Source organism: Homo sapiens, chromosome 1, assembly GCF_000001405.40.
Source record: "Homo sapiens chromosome 1, GRCh38.p14 Primary Assembly".
Lineage (NCBI taxonomy): Eukaryota > Metazoa > Chordata > Mammalia > Primates > Hominidae > Homo > Homo sapiens.
In genome coordinates this window covers 156,280,824-156,296,955 of record NC_000001.11, presented here as the reverse complement: position 1 = coordinate 156,296,955, position 16,132 = coordinate 156,280,824, and the positions used below count along the sequence as shown (strand labels likewise).

Here is a 16,132-nt window from a genome sequence, read left to right as displayed (position 1 = left end):
TTTCTTTCTTTTTTTTTGAGATAGAGTTTTGCCCCTTGTTGCTCAGGCTGGAGTGCAATGTCGCAATCTCGGCTCACTGCAACCTCTGCCTCTTAGGTTCAAGCGATTCTCCTGCCTCAGCCTCCCAAATAGCTAGGATTACAGGCGCCTGCCACCATACCTGGCTAATTTTTGTATTTTTAGTAGAGACGGGGTTTCACCATGTTGGTCAGGCTGGTCTCTAACTCCTGACCTTAAGTGATCCACTCACCAAGGCCTCTCAGAGTGTTGGGATTACAGGCGTAAGCCACTGTGCCCGGCCTAGCCCCTTCTTTCTCTCTCTCTCTCTCTCTCTCTCTCTCTCTCTCTATATATATATATATATATATATATATATTTTTTTTTTTTTTTTTTTTTTTTTTTTTTTGAGACGGAGTCTCGCTCTTGTCGCCCAGGCTGGAGTGCAGTGGCACAATCTTGGCTCACTGCAACCTCTACTACCCGGATTCAAGTGATTCTCCTGCCTCAGCCTCCCGAGTAGCTGGGGTTACAGGCGCCTGCCACCGGGATTACAGGGCCCTGCCACCGTGCCCAGTGAATTTTTTGTATTTTTAGTAGAGACGGGCTTTCACCATCTTGGCCAGGCTGGTCTTGAACTCCTGACCTTGTGATCCACCTGCCTCAGCCTCCCAAAGTGCTGGGATTACAGGTGTGAGCCACCGTGCCCGGCCTTTTCTTTCAACATTTAACAAATAAGTTGGCTTTTTTGGAAGTATGTTGTTGTCATTTAGTGACACATCTCTAAATATTTACAATTTTTGTTGAAATGTTAGGCAGGGAAGAAGAACCACATTGTTCCACAGGGAAGAAGAACCACAGAGTTTCATGTGCTGGAGTAGAAAGAAGGTGTATGAGTTCCACAATGGGACAGGGTTGGGAACTTAAGGCAATGTACTGGAGTAGTTCCCTGTTGGGTTTATTTTCTTTAACCTGTCTTTGTGTCAAAATGAGATTTCACGTTCCTCTTAAAACATGCCGTTTGAATACTGTGTTTTTGGCATTGTCCAAGGAAAACTGAAAACTTGTAGCATGAATGTTTTTTTTTTCACTTAAAATCTTGTGACCATATTAAATTGTATTACTTGTAAGAGACTGACGTTTCCTGTTTTAAGATAGAATACAAAGCTGTTCTTTAATACATTAAATGGTGCTGACGAAAGGAAATTTTTTTAAAAAGCAAATAGTTTGGCGGCTCCGCCCTTGAAAGGGATCAGCTGAACGCGAGTCATGTGACCCTCTGGCACCTCTTCCGTCGGCTGAATTGCGGCCGTATGCGCGGCTCTGTGGAGTGCACCTGGGGTTGGGGGCACTGTGCCCCCAGCCCCCTGCTCCTTTGGACTCTACTTCTGTTTGCAGCCCCATTTGGCCTGCTGGGGGAGAAGACCCGCCAGGTGAGGGCCCTGGGGCTACAGCGATAGAAGTTTCAGGAAACGCTACCCTTGCAGGGTGGCTGGAACCGGGCATCCAGGGGCTAGGGGTGGAGGGTGGCTGCCAAGAGGAGGGTTCTTCAACCTGGAGGGTGTGGGAGATGGTCATGGGTCATGGGACGGGATTGTGGAGTAGGGCAAATGTGAGGGTGATGTCTGGACCCCGACTCAGCCCTGGGTGACCCAGGTCCAGGCAAGTGTTGAATGTTTTCTTCTTCGCAGCCCTGTGCCCTGACCCGCCCACCAGGGTCAGGGGAGTCCTGGCTGTACCCTCTACCCTACCCCTTTTCATCCTGTCCCCACTGCCCCTTACCCCAGGGTTCCCTCAGCTCCCGCACACATTCCTCTTGTCTAGTCCCCAAAATCCCATCCTTTGTCCAGCACTTTCCAAGCCCCCCTCCCCTCAAGCTTCTCTTTTGCCTGTGTCTCTCCTTGGTCCTGTTCCCTCAACCCTCCACTACTCCATGTTCCAGGTGTCTCTGGAGGTCATCCCTAACTGGCTGGGCCCCCTGCAGAACCTGCTTCATATACGGGCAGTGGGCACCAATTCCACACTGCACTATGTGTGGAGCAGCCTGGGGCCTCTGGCAGTGGTAATGGTGGCCACCAACACCCCCCACAGCACCCTGAGCGTCAACTGGAGCCTCCTGCTATCCCCTGAGCCCGATGGGGGCCTGATGGTGCTCCCTAAGGACAGCATTCAGTTTTCTTCTGCCCTTGTTTTTACCAGGGTGAGGAGGTTGGGAGAGAACCAAGGAGAAGAGTGCAGAGGAGAGAGTTCATCCCAATTAGAGGGTGGAACTAAAGACTGGGGGTGGGTGAAATAGACTCAGATATGAAAGCCTTGGTAGGGGGTGAGTGGGAGGTGTGGTCTCGGGAGAAAAACTGAGGCAAGCCCAGTTCCACCCTACCCCCACCCTCCAGCTGCTTGAGTTTGACAGCACCAACGTGTCCGATACGGCAGCAAAGCCTTTGGGAAGACCATATCCTCCATACTCCTTGGCCGATTTCTCTTGGAACAACATCACTGATTCATTGGATCCTGCCACCCTGAGTGCCACATTTCAAGGCCACCCCATGAACGACCCTACCAGGACTTTTGCCAATGGCAGCCTGGCCTTCAGGGTAAGGCGTGAGAAATCGGAAAGAGCTCAAAAAGGCTGATTTGTGAGGGTGGGATTTAATGATGGAGGTGGCCCTTAAGCACAGGCATCCAGCTATTTCCCACACCTCCCATGCTTCTTCCTTCCTAGGTCCAGGCCTTTTCCAGGTCCAGCCGACCAGCCCAACCCCCTCGCCTCCTGCACACAGCAGACACCTGTCAGCTAGAGGTGGCCCTGATTGGAGCCTCTCCCCGGGGAAACCGTTCCCTGTTTGGGCTGGAGGTAGCCACATTGGGCCAGGGCCCTGACTGCCCCTCAATGCAGGAGCAGCACTCCATCGACGATGAATATGCACCGGCCGTCTTCCAGGTCAGGCTTCCTGGAGAGAGGCAGATGGGTGAGGAATGTAGGTGGGACACCATTGGGACCTAAAACTCATTCAACCATTTGCCATTTAGCAACACTTTCTTTGGGTCGTTTAAGAGCTAGGCACTGTGCTAATGAATCTGACCCAGTCTCTGCCCTCAGTGGAGACAGACAGAAAGTGCAATATGACTTACACTCTGGCAGATGGAGATCTGCAAGGGGGCTAGGGGCCAAGAGGAGGGCTGAGTCCAGACTTGGAGGTTTGGAAAACAACTCAGTCCTCACCCAGTCGAACTCCCCATTTTTACAGAGGAGGGATTGAGGCCCTGCCTAGGACTCAGGACTCCTGCTGCTAGTCACAGAATAAGGCTGGGAGTGGCAAGGAAAAGAGGGTCGGGCACAGGTTGGTCCTCTTTACCCTCCCTTGTTTGCCTTTCTTCCCAGTTGGACCAGCTACTGTGGGGCTCCCTCCCATCAGGCTTTGCACAGTGGCGACCAGTGGCTTACTCCCAGAAGCCGGGGGGCCGAGAATCAGCCCTGCCCTGCCAAGCTTCCCCTCTTCATCCTGCCTTAGCATACTCTCTTCCCCAGTCACCCATTGTCCGAGCCTTCTTTGGGTCCCAGAATAACTTCTGTGCCTTCAATCTGACGTTCGGGGCTTCCACAGGCCCTGGCTATTGGGACCAACACTACCTCAGCTGGTGAGAGCCAGGGTTTGGGCCGGGGACTTGGGGAGTTGAAGTGGACAAAGGCTGAGCCTCCCAGCCTTTCCTCCTAAGCCCGCTTACCTCTCTCTCTCTGCTTGCTCTAGGTCGATGCTCCTGGGTGTGGGCTTCCCTCCAGTGGACGGCTTGTCCCCACTAGTCCTGGGCATCATGGCAGTGGCCCTGGGTGCCCCAGGGCTCATGCTGCTAGGGGGCGGCTTGGTTCTGCTGCTGCACCACAAGAAGTACTCAGAGTACCAGTCCATAAATTAAGGCCCGCTCTCTGGAGGGAAGGACATTACTGAACCTGTCTTGCTGTGCCTCGAAACTCTGGAGGTTGGAGCATCAAGTTCCAGCCGGCCCCTTCACTCCCCCATCTTGCTTTTCTGTGGAACCTCAGAGGCCAGCCTCGACTTCCTGGAGACCCCCAGGTGGGGCTTCCTTCATACTTTGTTGGGGGACTTTGGAGGCGGGCAGGGGACAGGGCTATTGATAAGGTCCCCTTGGTGTTGCCTTCTTGCATCTCCACACATTTCCCTTGGATGGGACTTGCAGGCCTAAATGAGAGGCATTCTGACTGGTTGGCTGCCCTGGAAGGCAAGAAAATAGATTTATTTTTTTTCACAGGGCTCCAGTCTCTTGATGTGTGAGTGTTGTTGGGCTGGTCTTGGGCTGGTTCCAGGGAATGGAAGGGCTAAGAGATGGGCTTGGAAGGCAAGTTTCTGTTTGAGGCTCCATTTCCTTGCTGTGGAACCAAGGAACCTGCCAGCCCTGCTCCACCAGGTAGAGCTGGGAGGTTTCTATCGTCATCTGAATTAAACAGGGAAGGGACACTCGAGACTGGGGGACAAACAGGAAAAAAGAGCCAGCAAAGACTGGTAGTAATTTATTGTTACACACACACACACACACACACACACACACACACACACACACACACTAGGTTAACATCAACCACCGCACCATCCAGGCACTCCCCAGCCACCACGTGTGGGCACAAAGACACACACACCCCTCTTGGTAGGCAGATTTCCCTGTCTGCTCCCCTCTTCCTGTGGGAGAGGCATGCCTTCTGGGCAGTTTAAAGGTGGGAAGTTACAGGGGCCTAAAAAGGTAAAAGAGCAGCAGCTCTGCACTGGCCAGCTGTAAACAGTAAATAGGCCAGTCATGGAGGGTCCTGAATCCAGATCCTCAGGAAGGTTTTCACCAAACACCACAGTCCCATTTGATGTGATGCCCAGCCTCTATCCTTAAGGCATTTCCAGCGTCCCTGAGGCGCTCTGCTTAGACAACTGGCACAGAAGTGGTCAGGGCCTTGGCTGTGGCTCTGCCTCCTGCCTCACGGGAAGCCGGGGAGTGGAGCAGAGACCAGCATTAGGGAGCCTTGTGGCAGTGGTGAGAGGCTGCTCAGGAAGGAGCTGTGCCTCTCCCCTGGTCCTGGCCCCATGCCCTCAGCATCCTTAAGAAACACGGCTGTCCACCTTTTTCCCTGCAAGAAAACTAAGTCCATCCCTTATGACTGTCTCGGGCCCCAAAGGTGAAGGGCAGCTCCGGCAAGGGGAGAACTCCGATTGATTGGAGTCCCTGTTGGGGCAGTAGCAGGGTTCCACCCACCGCGGTCCTAGGCCTGGGGGCGAAGTCCAGGCCTGGCCACAAGGTTCAAAGATGTGTCAGACCCAAGCCGCTACCCCCTACTCCGAGGGCGAGGGCGGAGAGGCTCAGCCCCAGGGGCGGGGCCTGTAGTCGGAGGCCGAGCGGGCGTGGTCCGGGTAGTCCAGGCGGCTCTCGGTGGCAGTGAGCATGCGCTCCGGCTCCACCACGAACATGTAGTAGAGGTTCCACATCAGCATCGACAGCAGTGGCAGAAACGTCAGGCCGTAGCCGAAGCCTCGGAAGGAGCGGCCCACGGCAAAGGTCAGCCAGTAGATCAGCCTATGGGGGCAAGAAAAGGGTCAGGCTACTCTCGAGGGAAGCGCGTCAGCTGATTGGCAATAGGCTGACGGTGGGGGGAGTAGATAGGGGAGGCAGATGCAGTTGGTGGGTATGGCTGGTACTTCCAAATACAGCCAAAGTTTATGCACTTAACATGTATTAGGCACAGCGCTAATTACTATAAGTGATTGATTTGACTTCCCCACATCTTTATGAAGTTGAGTATGTTATTCCTTTCCCTCTTTTATTTACTTTTCGATTTATTTTTATTTTTTTAGAGACATGGTCTTGCTATGTTGCCAGTCTGGGCTCAAACTTCTGGCCTTGAGTGATTCTCTCACCTCAGACTCCTGAGTAGCTGGGATTACAGATGCGGGCCACCACACCTGGCTGTACAAACTTTAAAATGTTTGAGCAAATTCAATGAGTATAGTAAAATATCTTCCTCCCTTTACCGATTCCCACCCTATTCTCCCCCACCCCCACCCCAGGCATCAATATTATGGTTTCTTGTGCACTGAGTGATTTTTTAAATTATTATTATTTTTTTATTTTTGAGACAGAGTCTCTCTCTGTCACCCAGGCTGGAGTGCAGTGGTGCGATCTCAGCTCACTGCAACCTCCGCCTCCCGGGTTCAAGCAATTCTCCTGCCTCAGCCTCCTGAGTAGCTGAGACTACGGGCGCCCGCCACCATGCCTGGCTATTTTTTTGTATTTTTAGTAGAGATGGGGTTTCACCCGAGATGGTCTCAATCTCCTGACCTGATGATCCGCCTGCCTTGGCCTCCCAAAGTGCTGGGATTACAGGCGTGAGCCACCGCGCCTGGCCTATTTTTTTTTTTTTTTAAATTATAGATGGGGTCTCTGTCAGCCAGGCTGGAGTGCAGTGGCAGCCCCCAACTCCTGAGCTCAGGCAGTCCTCCCACCACAGCCTACCAAAGTGCCTTGGCCTCCCAAAGTGCTGAGATTACAGGTGTGAGCCACCATGCCCAGCAGATTTTTTTCTTTTATTTTTTTCTTAAAGACCAGTGTGCTTTTCTTGGAGAAAGAAGAAAAGAAGAAAGAAGGAAGAAGAAGAAGAAAGAAAGGAGGAAGAAGGAAGAAGAAGAGCCAGTGTGATAATACATTGAGTGATTTTTTAAAAAGTGCATATATGAGCAAAAAGTTATTTTTCCCTTTTCTGAAGTATGGCAGCATACTATATAGACTGTCTCTGCATGTTTATTTTTCCCCCATTTAATATATCCTGGAGATCATTTTATATCAATATAAAAATGGTTTTCTCATTCTTTTATAGCTGCAGTGTGTTCCATTGTATTTATCCTCTTGCAGATGAAGAAACTAAGATTCCAAGGGTTAAGTAAGACTGGTCCAAGATCACACATCTGGGAAATAGCAAAGCCATGATATGAACCCAAACCTGTTCATTACCTTCCCTTCTGCCAATTTGAGGGGCAGAGGTAAAGAGGAGAGCAAAGAAGCCACCTCTAGGAGGGCTTGAAGCCCAGAGGATGGGTCAGCCACAGATTTCGTGGAAGATATGTTCAATACACACCCCTCAATGGAGGGAGGGGAGAGCAACTTCCTCTTAATATATGAAGGATCACTTCTTAATATATGAAGGACCACTTATTACATGATTCATGTGCCTCTATTCTTTTTTACCTGTGAAAGGGAGGGAAGAGTAACTGCTGCTTCTCTTCTGCACTAGGAAGCAGCATAGTATAATGAACCAAGTACCAGATTGTTTTTTTGTTGTTCTTGTTATTTTTTGAGACAGAGTCTCGCTCTGTCGCCCAGGCTGGAGTGCAGTGGCCCAATCTCGGCTCACTGCAAGCTCCGCCTCCCAGGTTCACGCCATTCTCCTGCCTCAGCCTCCTGAGTAGCTGGGACTACAGGTACCCACCACCATGCCCGGCTAATTTTTTATTTTTATTTTTAGTAGAGACGTGGTTTCACCGTGTTAGCCAGGATGGTCTCGATCTCCTGACCTGGTGATCCACCCGCCTTGGCCTCCCAAAGTGCTGGGATTACAGGCGCCCATCACCACACCCGGCTAATTTTTTGTATTTTTATTAGAGATGGGGTTTTACCGTGTTAGCCAGGATGGTCTCGATCTCCTGACCTCATGATCCACCTGCCTTGGCCTCCCAAAGTGCTGGGATTACAGGTGTGAGCCACCACGCCTGGCACCAAGTACTAGATTGTTTTAAGTACTCTACATGAATTAACTCATTTAATCCTCATAACGACCTCATTTTACAGATGATGAAACTGAGGCACAAACTGCTTAATGAACTTGTCCATGGTAAAGAAGAAAGGACCCTGGATAAGAGAGGAAAAGGACCTGGATTCTAGTCCTGCCACTATTGCCGACTGACCTGAGCAACTCTCTTCCCCTAATCTGTTGTGATTTTCCCTTTGTAAAATGGGAAGCCTGGACCAGACAATCACTGAGTCTTCCTTTAGCTCCCTGATGATTTTTACTGCTTAAGCCAACTTCTATCTGAAACCAGTATTCCCCAGGAGTTTAAGATGGCAGGCTAAGTTACATGAGCAGGAACATATTTATTTTGGGAAAACCTATTGGGAGAAAATGCAAGGCTGCATGATGGTCAGGAGGCTGGTGGGACAACTGACTGCTGGACCACAATCAGAAGTGACAGGAAGACTAATTTTAGCTCAATAGGAAGAATATTTTATTTTAGCGAGCTACCTGGAATCCTGTATCAAAAGTAACAAGAGCAGGCCAGGTGTGGTGGCTCACGCCTGTAATCCCAGCACTTTGGGTGGCCAAGATGGGTGGATTATCTGAGGTCAGAAGTTCGAGACCAGCCTGGCCAACATGTTGAAACCCTGTCTCTACTAAAAATACAAAAAAAATTAGCTGGGCATGGTGGCTCACACCTGTAATCTCAGCTACTCGGGGGGCTGAGGCAGGAAAACTGCTTGAGCCTGGAGACAGAAGTTGTAGTGAGCCAAGATTGCGCCACTGCACTCCAGCCTGGGTAACAGAGTAAGACACCATCTCAAAAAAAAAAAAAGAAAAAAAAAGTAACAAGAGCATATGTATTAGGGAAAATGGAAAGAAAAGACCTGCATTTGGGTTAAGAAATTCAAAGGTGCCTTCTAGATTAACAGTAGTTCATGTGAAAATACCCCTAAGGATTTTTTTTTTTTTTTTTTTGAGACGGAGTCTCACTCTTTCACCCAGGCCAGACTGCAGTGGCGCTATCTCGGCTCCCGGGTTCACGCCATTCTCCTGCCTCAGCCTCCCGAGTAGTTGGGACTGTAGGCGCTCGCCACCGCACCCGGCTAATTTTTTTGTATTTTTAATAGAGACGGGGTTTCACCGTGTTAGCCAGGATGGTCTCAATCTCCTGACCTCATGATCTGCCCGCCTCCGCCTCCCAAAGTACCCCTAAGGATTTTAGGTGATGGCAAAGTCTGAATGAAAGGAGAGTAAGGGCCAGGCGCAGTGGCTCACGCCTGTAATCCCAGTACTTTGGGAGGCTGAGGCGGGCAGATCACCTGAGGTTAGGGGTTCAAGAACTGCCTGGCCAACATGGTGAAACCCTATCTCTACTAAAAATACAAAAAGTTAGCTGGGCCTGGTGGTGGGCGCCTGTAATCCCAGCTACGCGGGAGGCTGAGGCAGGAGAATCGCTTGAACCCAGTAGGTGGAGATTGTAGTGAGCTGAGATCCTGCCATTGTACTCTCCAGCCTGGGCAACAAGAGTGAAACACTGTCTCAAAAAAAAAAAAAAAAAAAAAAAAAGTGGAGAGTAAGAAGGCTGCGAGGAGAGCTCACACATCCTTGGTTTGTATGAAGAAAAGGACAGTACCCTCTACCAGGGCCATCCCCTCATTGACAAACAGGAAGAGAAGGACAGTACCCTCAACCAGGCCCCCCAACCTTGAGACCTCATCTCTATATTTTTTTAATTTTAATTATTTATTTATTTGTTTGAGACGGAGTCTCACTCTGTCACCCAGGCTGGAGTGCAATGGCGCGATCTTGGCTCACTGCAACCTCCGCCTCCCAGGTTCAAGCGATTCTCCTGCCTCCGCCTCCTGAATAGCTGGGATTACAGATGCCCACCACCACACCCGGCTAATTTTTTGTATTTTTAGTAGACCTGGGGTTTCACCTTGTTGGCCAAGCTGGTCTCGAGCTCCTGACATTGTGATCCACCCACCTCAGCCTCCCAAAGTGCTGGGATTACAGGCGTGAGCCACTACACCCGGCTATTTATTTTTTTGAGATGAAGTCTAGCTCTGTCGTCCAGGCTAGAGTACAGTGACACGATCTTGTGTCACTGCAATCTCCACCTCCTGGACTCAAGCGATTCTCCTGCCTCAGCCTCCTCAGTAGCTGGGACTACAGGTGTGCACCACCATGCCCAGCTAATTTTTGTATTTTTAGTAGAGACAGGGTTTCACCATATTGGCCAGGCTGGTCTCGAACTCCTGACCTCAAGTGATCTGCCACCTCGGCCTCTCAAAGTGCTGAGATTACAGGCATGAGCCACTGCACCCAGCCTTGTCTCTATTTTGAAAAAATATATCTATTTTTAAGTTGTACATTTGGTTACAGGGGGTGTTCAACCAGAGACCAAAACAGCTACCTGACCAGATTGCCACAGGAGTGGCTGCAATGGGTGCATTGATCTAGATGACACCTGAAAGCCTTCTTGTTCCATATGGTTATATATGTCTCTGAAATCGGCTTCCATCTGCTGACCAGCTGAGGTAAGGTGCAAGAGAGAAGGTGGACTTATCTCCCCAGGGCACACATTTGGGCCAGTGTAGAATCCGGAAAGCTCCTGACCCTGGCTCTCCAGACATTCAGATGCCTAGGTTCTCTAGCACCATCCCCTCTCCCATGCCCCACCCTCTGCCCCAACTTACCGGGAGACGGCAAAGAGACCAGTGAGCAGAGGGAGCAGTTTGAGGGTATCCTGGGGCAGGTAAGTGGAAAGCACGGCCAGGTTGAAGAAGTAGAGAATAAAGAGCTGGACCGACTGGGCCACATATCGCCGGTGGATCTCCACCTCCCGCCGTGGCTCCCCAAAGGGCCGAAGGGCAGAAAAGCATAACAGGCTCAGCCCGTACACCAGGATCCCTGGGTGGAGTTGGGAAACAGGGTAGGGTCAGAAAAGGCAGGGGAAGGGCACAAGAGGCAGTAAGCTGGGGGCAGATTCACTGTGGGCAGTGCATGGGCTCTACACAGTGGGGTGGAGGTGGTCCTGGGAGGAGATGGGCATGCAGACTGGCAGGGGGTGGGAGACCCTGAGGGGCCCAGGTCAAGTGAAGGGAAATCCTCCTGCTCCCCACACCAGCCAGGCCCTGCCCTCCTCAAGTCCACTTCCCGATGCCCCCTTTCTTCTCACAGGCTCACCCAGCACAATGGGGAAGGTGGCAAAGACCCCGCAGCGCAGTGTGTAGATCAGGCGGGAACTCATGGTGGGCAGCCGTGGGACATCAAACGGCAGGAAGGCATATGCCCCGTATAGTAGGCAAGGGAAGAGAATGAGTGCGGCTCCCACGGAGGCCACAGCCCTTAGCCACTCACGGTCTCCACAGCTCCCGCAGCCCCCACAGGAACAGCCAGGCGGCCTCACCACTGCCTCAGCCCACTTGCGCTCAGTGGGGTCGGGGTGGGTGACCCGGGGGGGCATGAAGGTTCGGCACTCGCCCTCGCCTGCCTCACAGCGCACGATAAGGTCTTCTTGGGGCTGCCGCTCAATGCACTGTAGGTCAATAGGCACGAAGGCACGGGCCGCTTTCTCAGGCAGCAGGTTGGCATCGTCTTCGGGCAGCTCCTCTAGCTTGGTAAGTGGTTCTGACTCAGGGGGCTCTGGTTCAATGTCCCGCCAGCCAGGGGGATCCGGGAACGGAGCACTGGGCTGAGGGCCAGTCCCCCAGGGCAAGGTGGCAGCCTCACTTACTGTGCTGTCTAGACCATCCTCAGCCCCCTCTATGGCTGTGGGAGATCCAGCTGAAGACCCCACTCTGAGGGACTCAGCTCCCGGGGATTCGGCCCCACCTTCCCCTTCTGGCTGCCGGCCATTGGGAACCAAGGCCTGGGGTGAGCTCTTCTCTGGGGAATCAGACCTCTTCACTTCCAGTAGGGCCAGGGTCTCCTGTTCTGTCATCCTGGGGCCTCAGTTCTGGGATCTACCACAAGGTCATGTCATCCTGCAGGGAACAGAGGAAAGCTCTGTCAGAAACCCCTGTCTTCTAGTTATTAGGACAGGTTGACAGAACTCATACTCTCCAGGGCAACTGGCTTCATGGGTTTTGGCCCCTTCTGGAGCCTTAGGGAGAACGTGGTACAGAGGAAGACACTGAAACAGAGGGAGGAGGGAAGGAAGTGAGCAGCTGAAATGGAGGCACCCTTTCGACATCAAATGCCGTCCAACAGGAGAGGGTGAGTCAAGGGACACAGGCCCTGGCAGCTGTGAACTCAGTCAGCCTCCACCCACGCCTTCTATGCCCCTCCACCAAAACCCCTGGAGTCATGGCCACTCTAATGCAGGAATAGGAGGCAGAAGAGGTGTCTAGAACTTTGCCAAGTTTCTTTCCCACTGAGGATCTTGCTGTAGACAGAGAAGCTTCCTCTCCACTGTCCCATCCCTACACATCCCTGCTTGGAACCCTCCTGCATTCCAAGTGAGACCAGTGATTTGCCAACTGATCTGACCCAAAGAGCTGGCAGTTCCAGGCACCCTCTTCCTTCACTGGTACTTGGTCAGTTCCCAAACTCCTCACTAGCCCACCTCATCCATCTCTGCAGGGCCTGGGTCTGCTATTCTGATATTTAGGTCTGATCATGGCTGTTTTCTATGCCTTCTCTCCTGTCTTTCTCTCCTCCCTGCTGCCCTCCATCTCATTGCTTCTGGATGGGACTGATTCCCTTCCTTTATCTCAAGGGCACTCCAAACCTTGCAGTTTGGACCCATGACATCCTCTTACTTTCCATATGGAGTGGAGGGTCCCCAGCGTCTGTCCATCCGTCCGTCCGGGAAGGAGCTGCCCAGCTACCTGCTGGCTCTGCAAGTATTTCTCTCTGTCTCCCTCCCTTTACCTGTGTCTCAAAACCTGTCTGACCAGAGCAGGTGGGGCCCAGCTTAAAGGGGCAGGCCCCGCCCTGCTGAATCTGCCGACAAAAAAAAGCATCAGAGGAGGATGTCATCCTTTCTGAAAGTTGGGATGCAGCTGGGCAAAGGGGTAAGTTCACATTCTAGGCACCTGGAATGCGTAAGAACTCCCAGCTCAGGAAAGCAGAGGGAGAAAAGTGGATTTGTGCAACAAAGGGTGCTCGGAGTAGGCTGGGATACCCAGAAATGGAATTTGTACACTTATTCATTCAGTAAATACTTACTGGACACCAATTATTAGCTAGGCAGACACAGAAGAGAACAAGATGACAGTTGAGGTCTCTGCCCTTGAGAAGCTTATGTTCTATTGGGGTAACATAATGAAGAAGCCTAGCAACTAAATCAATTAGACAATTTTAATAGGAAAGACCTCTTTGGTAAGGTAATATTTGAGCTGAAACCTGATGGGAAATCAGGAGTATGAGTGTTACAGACAGAGGAACAGCAAGTGAAAGACCAATGGATGGGAAAGACTTAGGCTGTTTCAGGAACAGAAAGAAGGTGGGTGGCTGCAGCCAGGAGCATAGTGGTAGAAGGGCAATTTATGTTCTCATTACAATTCATACACAGGCAAAAACAACAACAACAAAACAAACCACCCTTGCTTTTTAACTTAGGTTTTAAGCTAAAACAAGACAAAGCAGTCACGCTCCTAGCTGTAAGCCCACCTGCCCTGATTTCCAATGTGAGGATTAGGAGATAGAAACGTTAGGGACTAGCTTCTCATTTCTATGAGTCCTTATCCCTAAAATCATTTGAGCTTTGGGAGGGCAGGGATAGTGTCTAGCTTGCTCACCTCTGTGTGTCTAGAATCTTGCACTGTGGCTGGAAGATGGCAGTTCAATAAATGTTACTGGCTCGTAAGAGATAGATATGCAAGCTGGAAATCTTTGGGAGGGGAGCTGAAGGGCCGAGACGCTTGTACAAGTCATTTCTTCCGGGGCTTTACTCCTATGTGATGCTCGGCCCTTTCCAAGGAAACTTTCACATGCACTTTTTGTTTGTTTAAATTATGGGGGAAAAGGGAAAGCTGGAGTCACTCTAACCAGTAATCTGAAAGAGGCTTGGCTCAAACGGGGAGGCGGGAAAGGGGCAGAAGGATGGACCAAATGACCATTGTAGGACAAAGCAGTCACGCTCCTAGCTGTAAGCTCACCTGCCCTGATCCAGTTAAGCTTTGGCCGCCTCAGTGGGTACACTGTCCGTTCTCTGATAGCTTTGCCAATAAAGTTTTTCGCAAGGGTTTGGAGAAGCCGGAAAGACGCCATGCTGCCCAGAGTTAGTTCTGGCAACTTCCCGGGAGGGAAAACGAGTTTCGCGAGATTTGGTAGCAGCAGGCCACTGGTCCGCAACTGTGCGGCTGCCATCGCGAGATTTGGCAGGCGGAGGAGGAGCTGTCGCGGGCAGCCGCCTCACAGCGATGGCGGCCGAGCAGGGCCGGTGGCGGCGGCGGCTGCGGCTACGGCCGGAGACGGCAGTGTTGGCGGTAGTGGTGGGTGGCAGGGGCCTGTGACCGGGAGCTGCCCCCGGACCCGGGCACCATGAGCCAAGGCCCCCCCACAGGGGAGAGCAGCGAGCCCGAAGCAAAAGTCCTCCACACTAAGCGGCTTTACCGGTGAGAGGGGCCAGGGCGTGAGAGCAGCCACCGAGGGAAGTGGGGAGACGGCGAGGGGCGGGGCCTCCCGGGCGGGCGGGGCCCGGGTGTCGGGGTGAGGTGCGGGTGAGGAAGGAGGGTGCAATTTTGGAGGCGGGGCGGGGTCCCGTAGTAACTCGGGATGGAACTGAAAGGAGGAATTGGGTAGGTGGGAGGTTTGGAGGGAAGCACGTGGAGGAATCCCCTCTGCAGTGAGCTTTCTTGGGGCGGGCACTAAGCTTGGTGGAGTTGGGGTAATAGGGTGGGAATTGAAGGCTGGAAGGGTTGGGTAGGTGAAGGTGGGGTCACAGGTGTAGAAAAACCCGGAAGGGAACGGTGCTTGGAATCCTGGGGGATTTACAAGGAAGAGTCTTGGACTGAAGTCCGTGGAGCTAGGTTCAGGTCCATCCTTTGCCACTCTCTCACGGTGTGACCTTGGGCCTCAGTTTCCTTATCCTTAAAAAGAACGATTTGAATTGGATGTGCTCTAAAGTCCCATACGGCTCTAATTTTGAGGAGTCCGAATGAGAAAGTCTTGGCCTGGAAGGGTCACGAACGACTTTTGTGTCCAGAGCGTTCTTGGGATTTGGGAGGCAATTCCGGGCACCTGGGGACTCCTGAGTCCTGCCTTCCTCCCAGCCTCATGACTGTAGTCTCTTGCCAGGCAACTTCCGTTCCTGGTTTCTGATTTCCATAATGCCACCCACGCTCCACAAGTCACATCTTCAGCCCTTCAGCCCTCTGTTGGCAACAGGCCCGAATGAGCTCTTCCCATCAAAGGTGGAGAATTTGTTGGGTAGGTCAACTGGAACATGGGCTCCGCAACTGGGTCAAAATAGGATGAAGCGTGGAAACTGAGTTTTGTGCCTTCTACTACAGAGTAGAGTTTGGGGTTTTCATTTAGCTCAGGCTTTATAGAACACGGATATTTGCATGAGAAGACGACCCTCAGAGCCTTGGCCACATTTTGGCGGTGAAAGAGTCAAGAGCATGTTGTCTTTTTCTCTTTGAGTAGGCATCCTGCCTTCTCTGGCTTTGTAAGCCAGAGGCAGAGGGGAGTATAGGCTGCTCCAAAAATAGAAAAGTGATTCAATCTAGCGGCCCCAGGGCTCCCACTATGGGCTGCCCCAAGCAGTCCCCAGGCGGGTGAGGAGTTGGCTGGGGGTGGCACGTGTGCCTTATCATGCTGCCGAGTGTCAGTGCTGCCTGTCAGACAGAGCGTGGGCAGTGTCTGCAATATTCCTTGTCTCCAGCTTTTGGGGATGGCTCTGGTCATCCTTCCAGTTGTCATCAAATGTAGTTCTTTCTTAAACCACTACATTCACAGGACTAACCTAAGCTGATGTGTTTGCCTGTGTGGCTTACCTGTGTGCACATGGGTATCTGCCTGTAATTGTGTTGTTGGCTTTGAGCAGGGTAGAAATTTGAGGCAGCCAATCACTGTTTTTATAATTTATTATAGCAGTGGTGATCAGTGGAAGGAACTAGGAGGAAAGTCTGATTTCTCTGCTCAAGATAAATGTGTTGTTAGACTATGGACTTGTCACTCTGAGCTTCAGAAATTTGGGGAACTCTCACACCTAGCTGTTTACGGATATGAAATTCTGAAATATTTTAAGTCAGAAGAAAGGGCAGCAGGAGAAAGGAGCCTGGAAGCACCAATTAATTAATTAGGCCAATTCATTAGTTATTTGTTTTTAAAAACATTTTTGTTTTTGCTAGGCCCGAGAGTACAATAGTGAATGAAACACACGGCTAGATTTTG

At 51.5% G+C, this 16,132-nt stretch overlaps 3 protein-coding genes across 15 annotated transcripts in view, besides 6 other annotated features; 2 read left to right on the top strand and 1 right to left on the bottom strand.

The window, feature by feature from the left end:
* Nucleotides 1–1,276: 1,276 nt before the first annotated feature.
* GLMP (glycosylated lysosomal membrane protein) lies at nt 1,277–4,268 on the top strand. Of its 8 annotated transcripts, none has more exons than XR_426762.4 (6): nt 1,277–1,430; nt 1,940–2,197; nt 2,391–2,591; nt 2,720–2,938; nt 3,246–3,338; nt 3,747–4,268. XR_426762.4 is itself a non-coding variant. In NM_001256604.2 (6 exons), the coding sequence occupies exons 1-6, from the start codon at nt 1,311–1,313 to the stop codon at nt 3,910–3,912; spliced, it is 1,074 nt and encodes a 357-aa protein (NP_001243533.1). In that variant the 5' UTR covers nt 1,277–1,310; the 3' UTR covers nt 3,913–4,268. The 8 variants fall into 8 exon arrangements, 7 of the variants coding, with proteins under 7 accessions (NP_001243533.1, NP_653181.1, NP_001243538.1 ...); NM_001256604.2 differs by lacking the exon at nt 3,246–3,338 and adding an exon at nt 3,527–3,636; NM_144580.3 differs by lacking the exon at nt 3,246–3,338 and adding an exon at nt 3,380–3,636.
* Nucleotides 4,269–4,512: 244 nt separating this feature from the next.
* TMEM79 (transmembrane protein 79) lies at nt 4,513–14,024 on the bottom strand. Of its 2 annotated transcripts, none has more exons than NR_026678.2 (4): nt 13,891–14,024; nt 10,973–11,772; nt 10,483–10,696; nt 4,513–5,571 (listed from the first exon to the last, which is right to left on the bottom strand). NR_026678.2 is itself a non-coding variant. In NM_032323.3 (4 exons), exons 2-4 carry the CDS (start codon nt 11,727–11,729, stop codon nt 5,358–5,360), a joined length of 1,185 nt encoding a protein of 394 aa, NP_115699.1. In that variant the 5' UTR covers nt 11,730–11,772; nt 12,550–12,631; the 3' UTR covers nt 4,513–5,357. The 2 variants fall into 2 exon arrangements, 1 of the variants encoding a protein (NP_115699.1); NM_032323.3 differs by lacking the exon at nt 13,891–14,024 and adding an exon at nt 12,550–12,631.
* Nucleotides 5,224–5,518: an enhancer, noted in NCBI's record as "tiled region #9834; HepG2 Activating DNase matched - State 1:Tss, and K562 Activating DNase unmatched - State 14:Gen5'". NCBI's record gives its function as "activates a minimal TATA promoter and a strong SV40 promoter by Sharpr-MPRA in HepG2 cells, with weaker activation in K562 cells {active_cell/tissue: HepG2 | K562}" and the evidence as "EXISTENCE:reporter gene assay evidence [ECO:0000049][PMID:27701403]".
* Nucleotides 5,224–5,558: a biological region, named in NCBI's record as "Sharpr-MPRA regulatory regions 9834 and 13552".
* Nucleotides 5,264–5,558: an enhancer, noted in NCBI's record as "tiled region #13552; K562 Activating DNase matched - State 14:Gen5', and HepG2 Activating DNase unmatched - State 1:Tss". NCBI's record gives its function as "activates a minimal TATA promoter and a strong SV40 promoter by Sharpr-MPRA in K562 cells, with weaker activation in HepG2 cells {active_cell/tissue: HepG2 | K562}" and the evidence as "EXISTENCE:reporter gene assay evidence [ECO:0000049][PMID:27701403]".
* SMG5 (SMG5 nonsense mediated mRNA decay factor) overlaps nt 5,440–16,132 on the top strand; it is a 42,293-nt gene continuing 31,600 nt past the window's right edge. For 3 of the 5 annotated variants that reach the window (NM_001323615.2, NM_001323614.2, NM_015327.3), the window contains exon 1: nt 14,131–14,349. In NM_001323615.2, coding sequence (NP_001310544.1) covers nt 14,276–14,349 — 74 coding nt within the window. In that variant the 5' untranslated portion in view covers nt 14,131–14,275. Of the gene's footprint in view, nt 5,554–10,168; nt 10,324–14,130; nt 14,350–15,031; nt 15,164–16,132 lie in introns of those variants that run through there. The other 2 variants (NM_001323617.2, NM_001323616.2) reach the window with 2 other exon arrangements.
* Nucleotides 13,133–14,104: an enhancer, noted in NCBI's record as "OCT4-NANOG-H3K27ac hESC enhancer chr1:156252643-156253614 (GRCh37/hg19 assembly coordinates)". NCBI's record gives its function as "activates a minimal SCP1, AML or CMV promoter by ChIP-STARR-seq in primed H9 embryonic stem cells {active_cell/tissue: H9 hESC(primed)}" and the evidence as "EXISTENCE:reporter gene assay evidence [ECO:0000049][PMID:30033119]".
* Nucleotides 14,184–14,513: a silencer, noted in NCBI's record as "silent region_1425". NCBI's record gives its function as "represses an Ori minimal core promoter by ATAC-STARR-seq in GM12878 lymphoblastoid cells {active_cell/tissue: GM12878}" and the evidence as "EXISTENCE:reporter gene assay evidence [ECO:0000049][PMID:35858748]".
* Nucleotides 15,077–16,050: an enhancer, noted in NCBI's record as "H3K27ac-H3K4me1 hESC enhancer chr1:156250697-156251670 (GRCh37/hg19 assembly coordinates)". NCBI's record gives its function as "activates a minimal SCP1, AML or CMV promoter by ChIP-STARR-seq in naive H9 embryonic stem cells {active_cell/tissue: H9 hESC(naive)}" and the evidence as "EXISTENCE:reporter gene assay evidence [ECO:0000049][PMID:30033119]".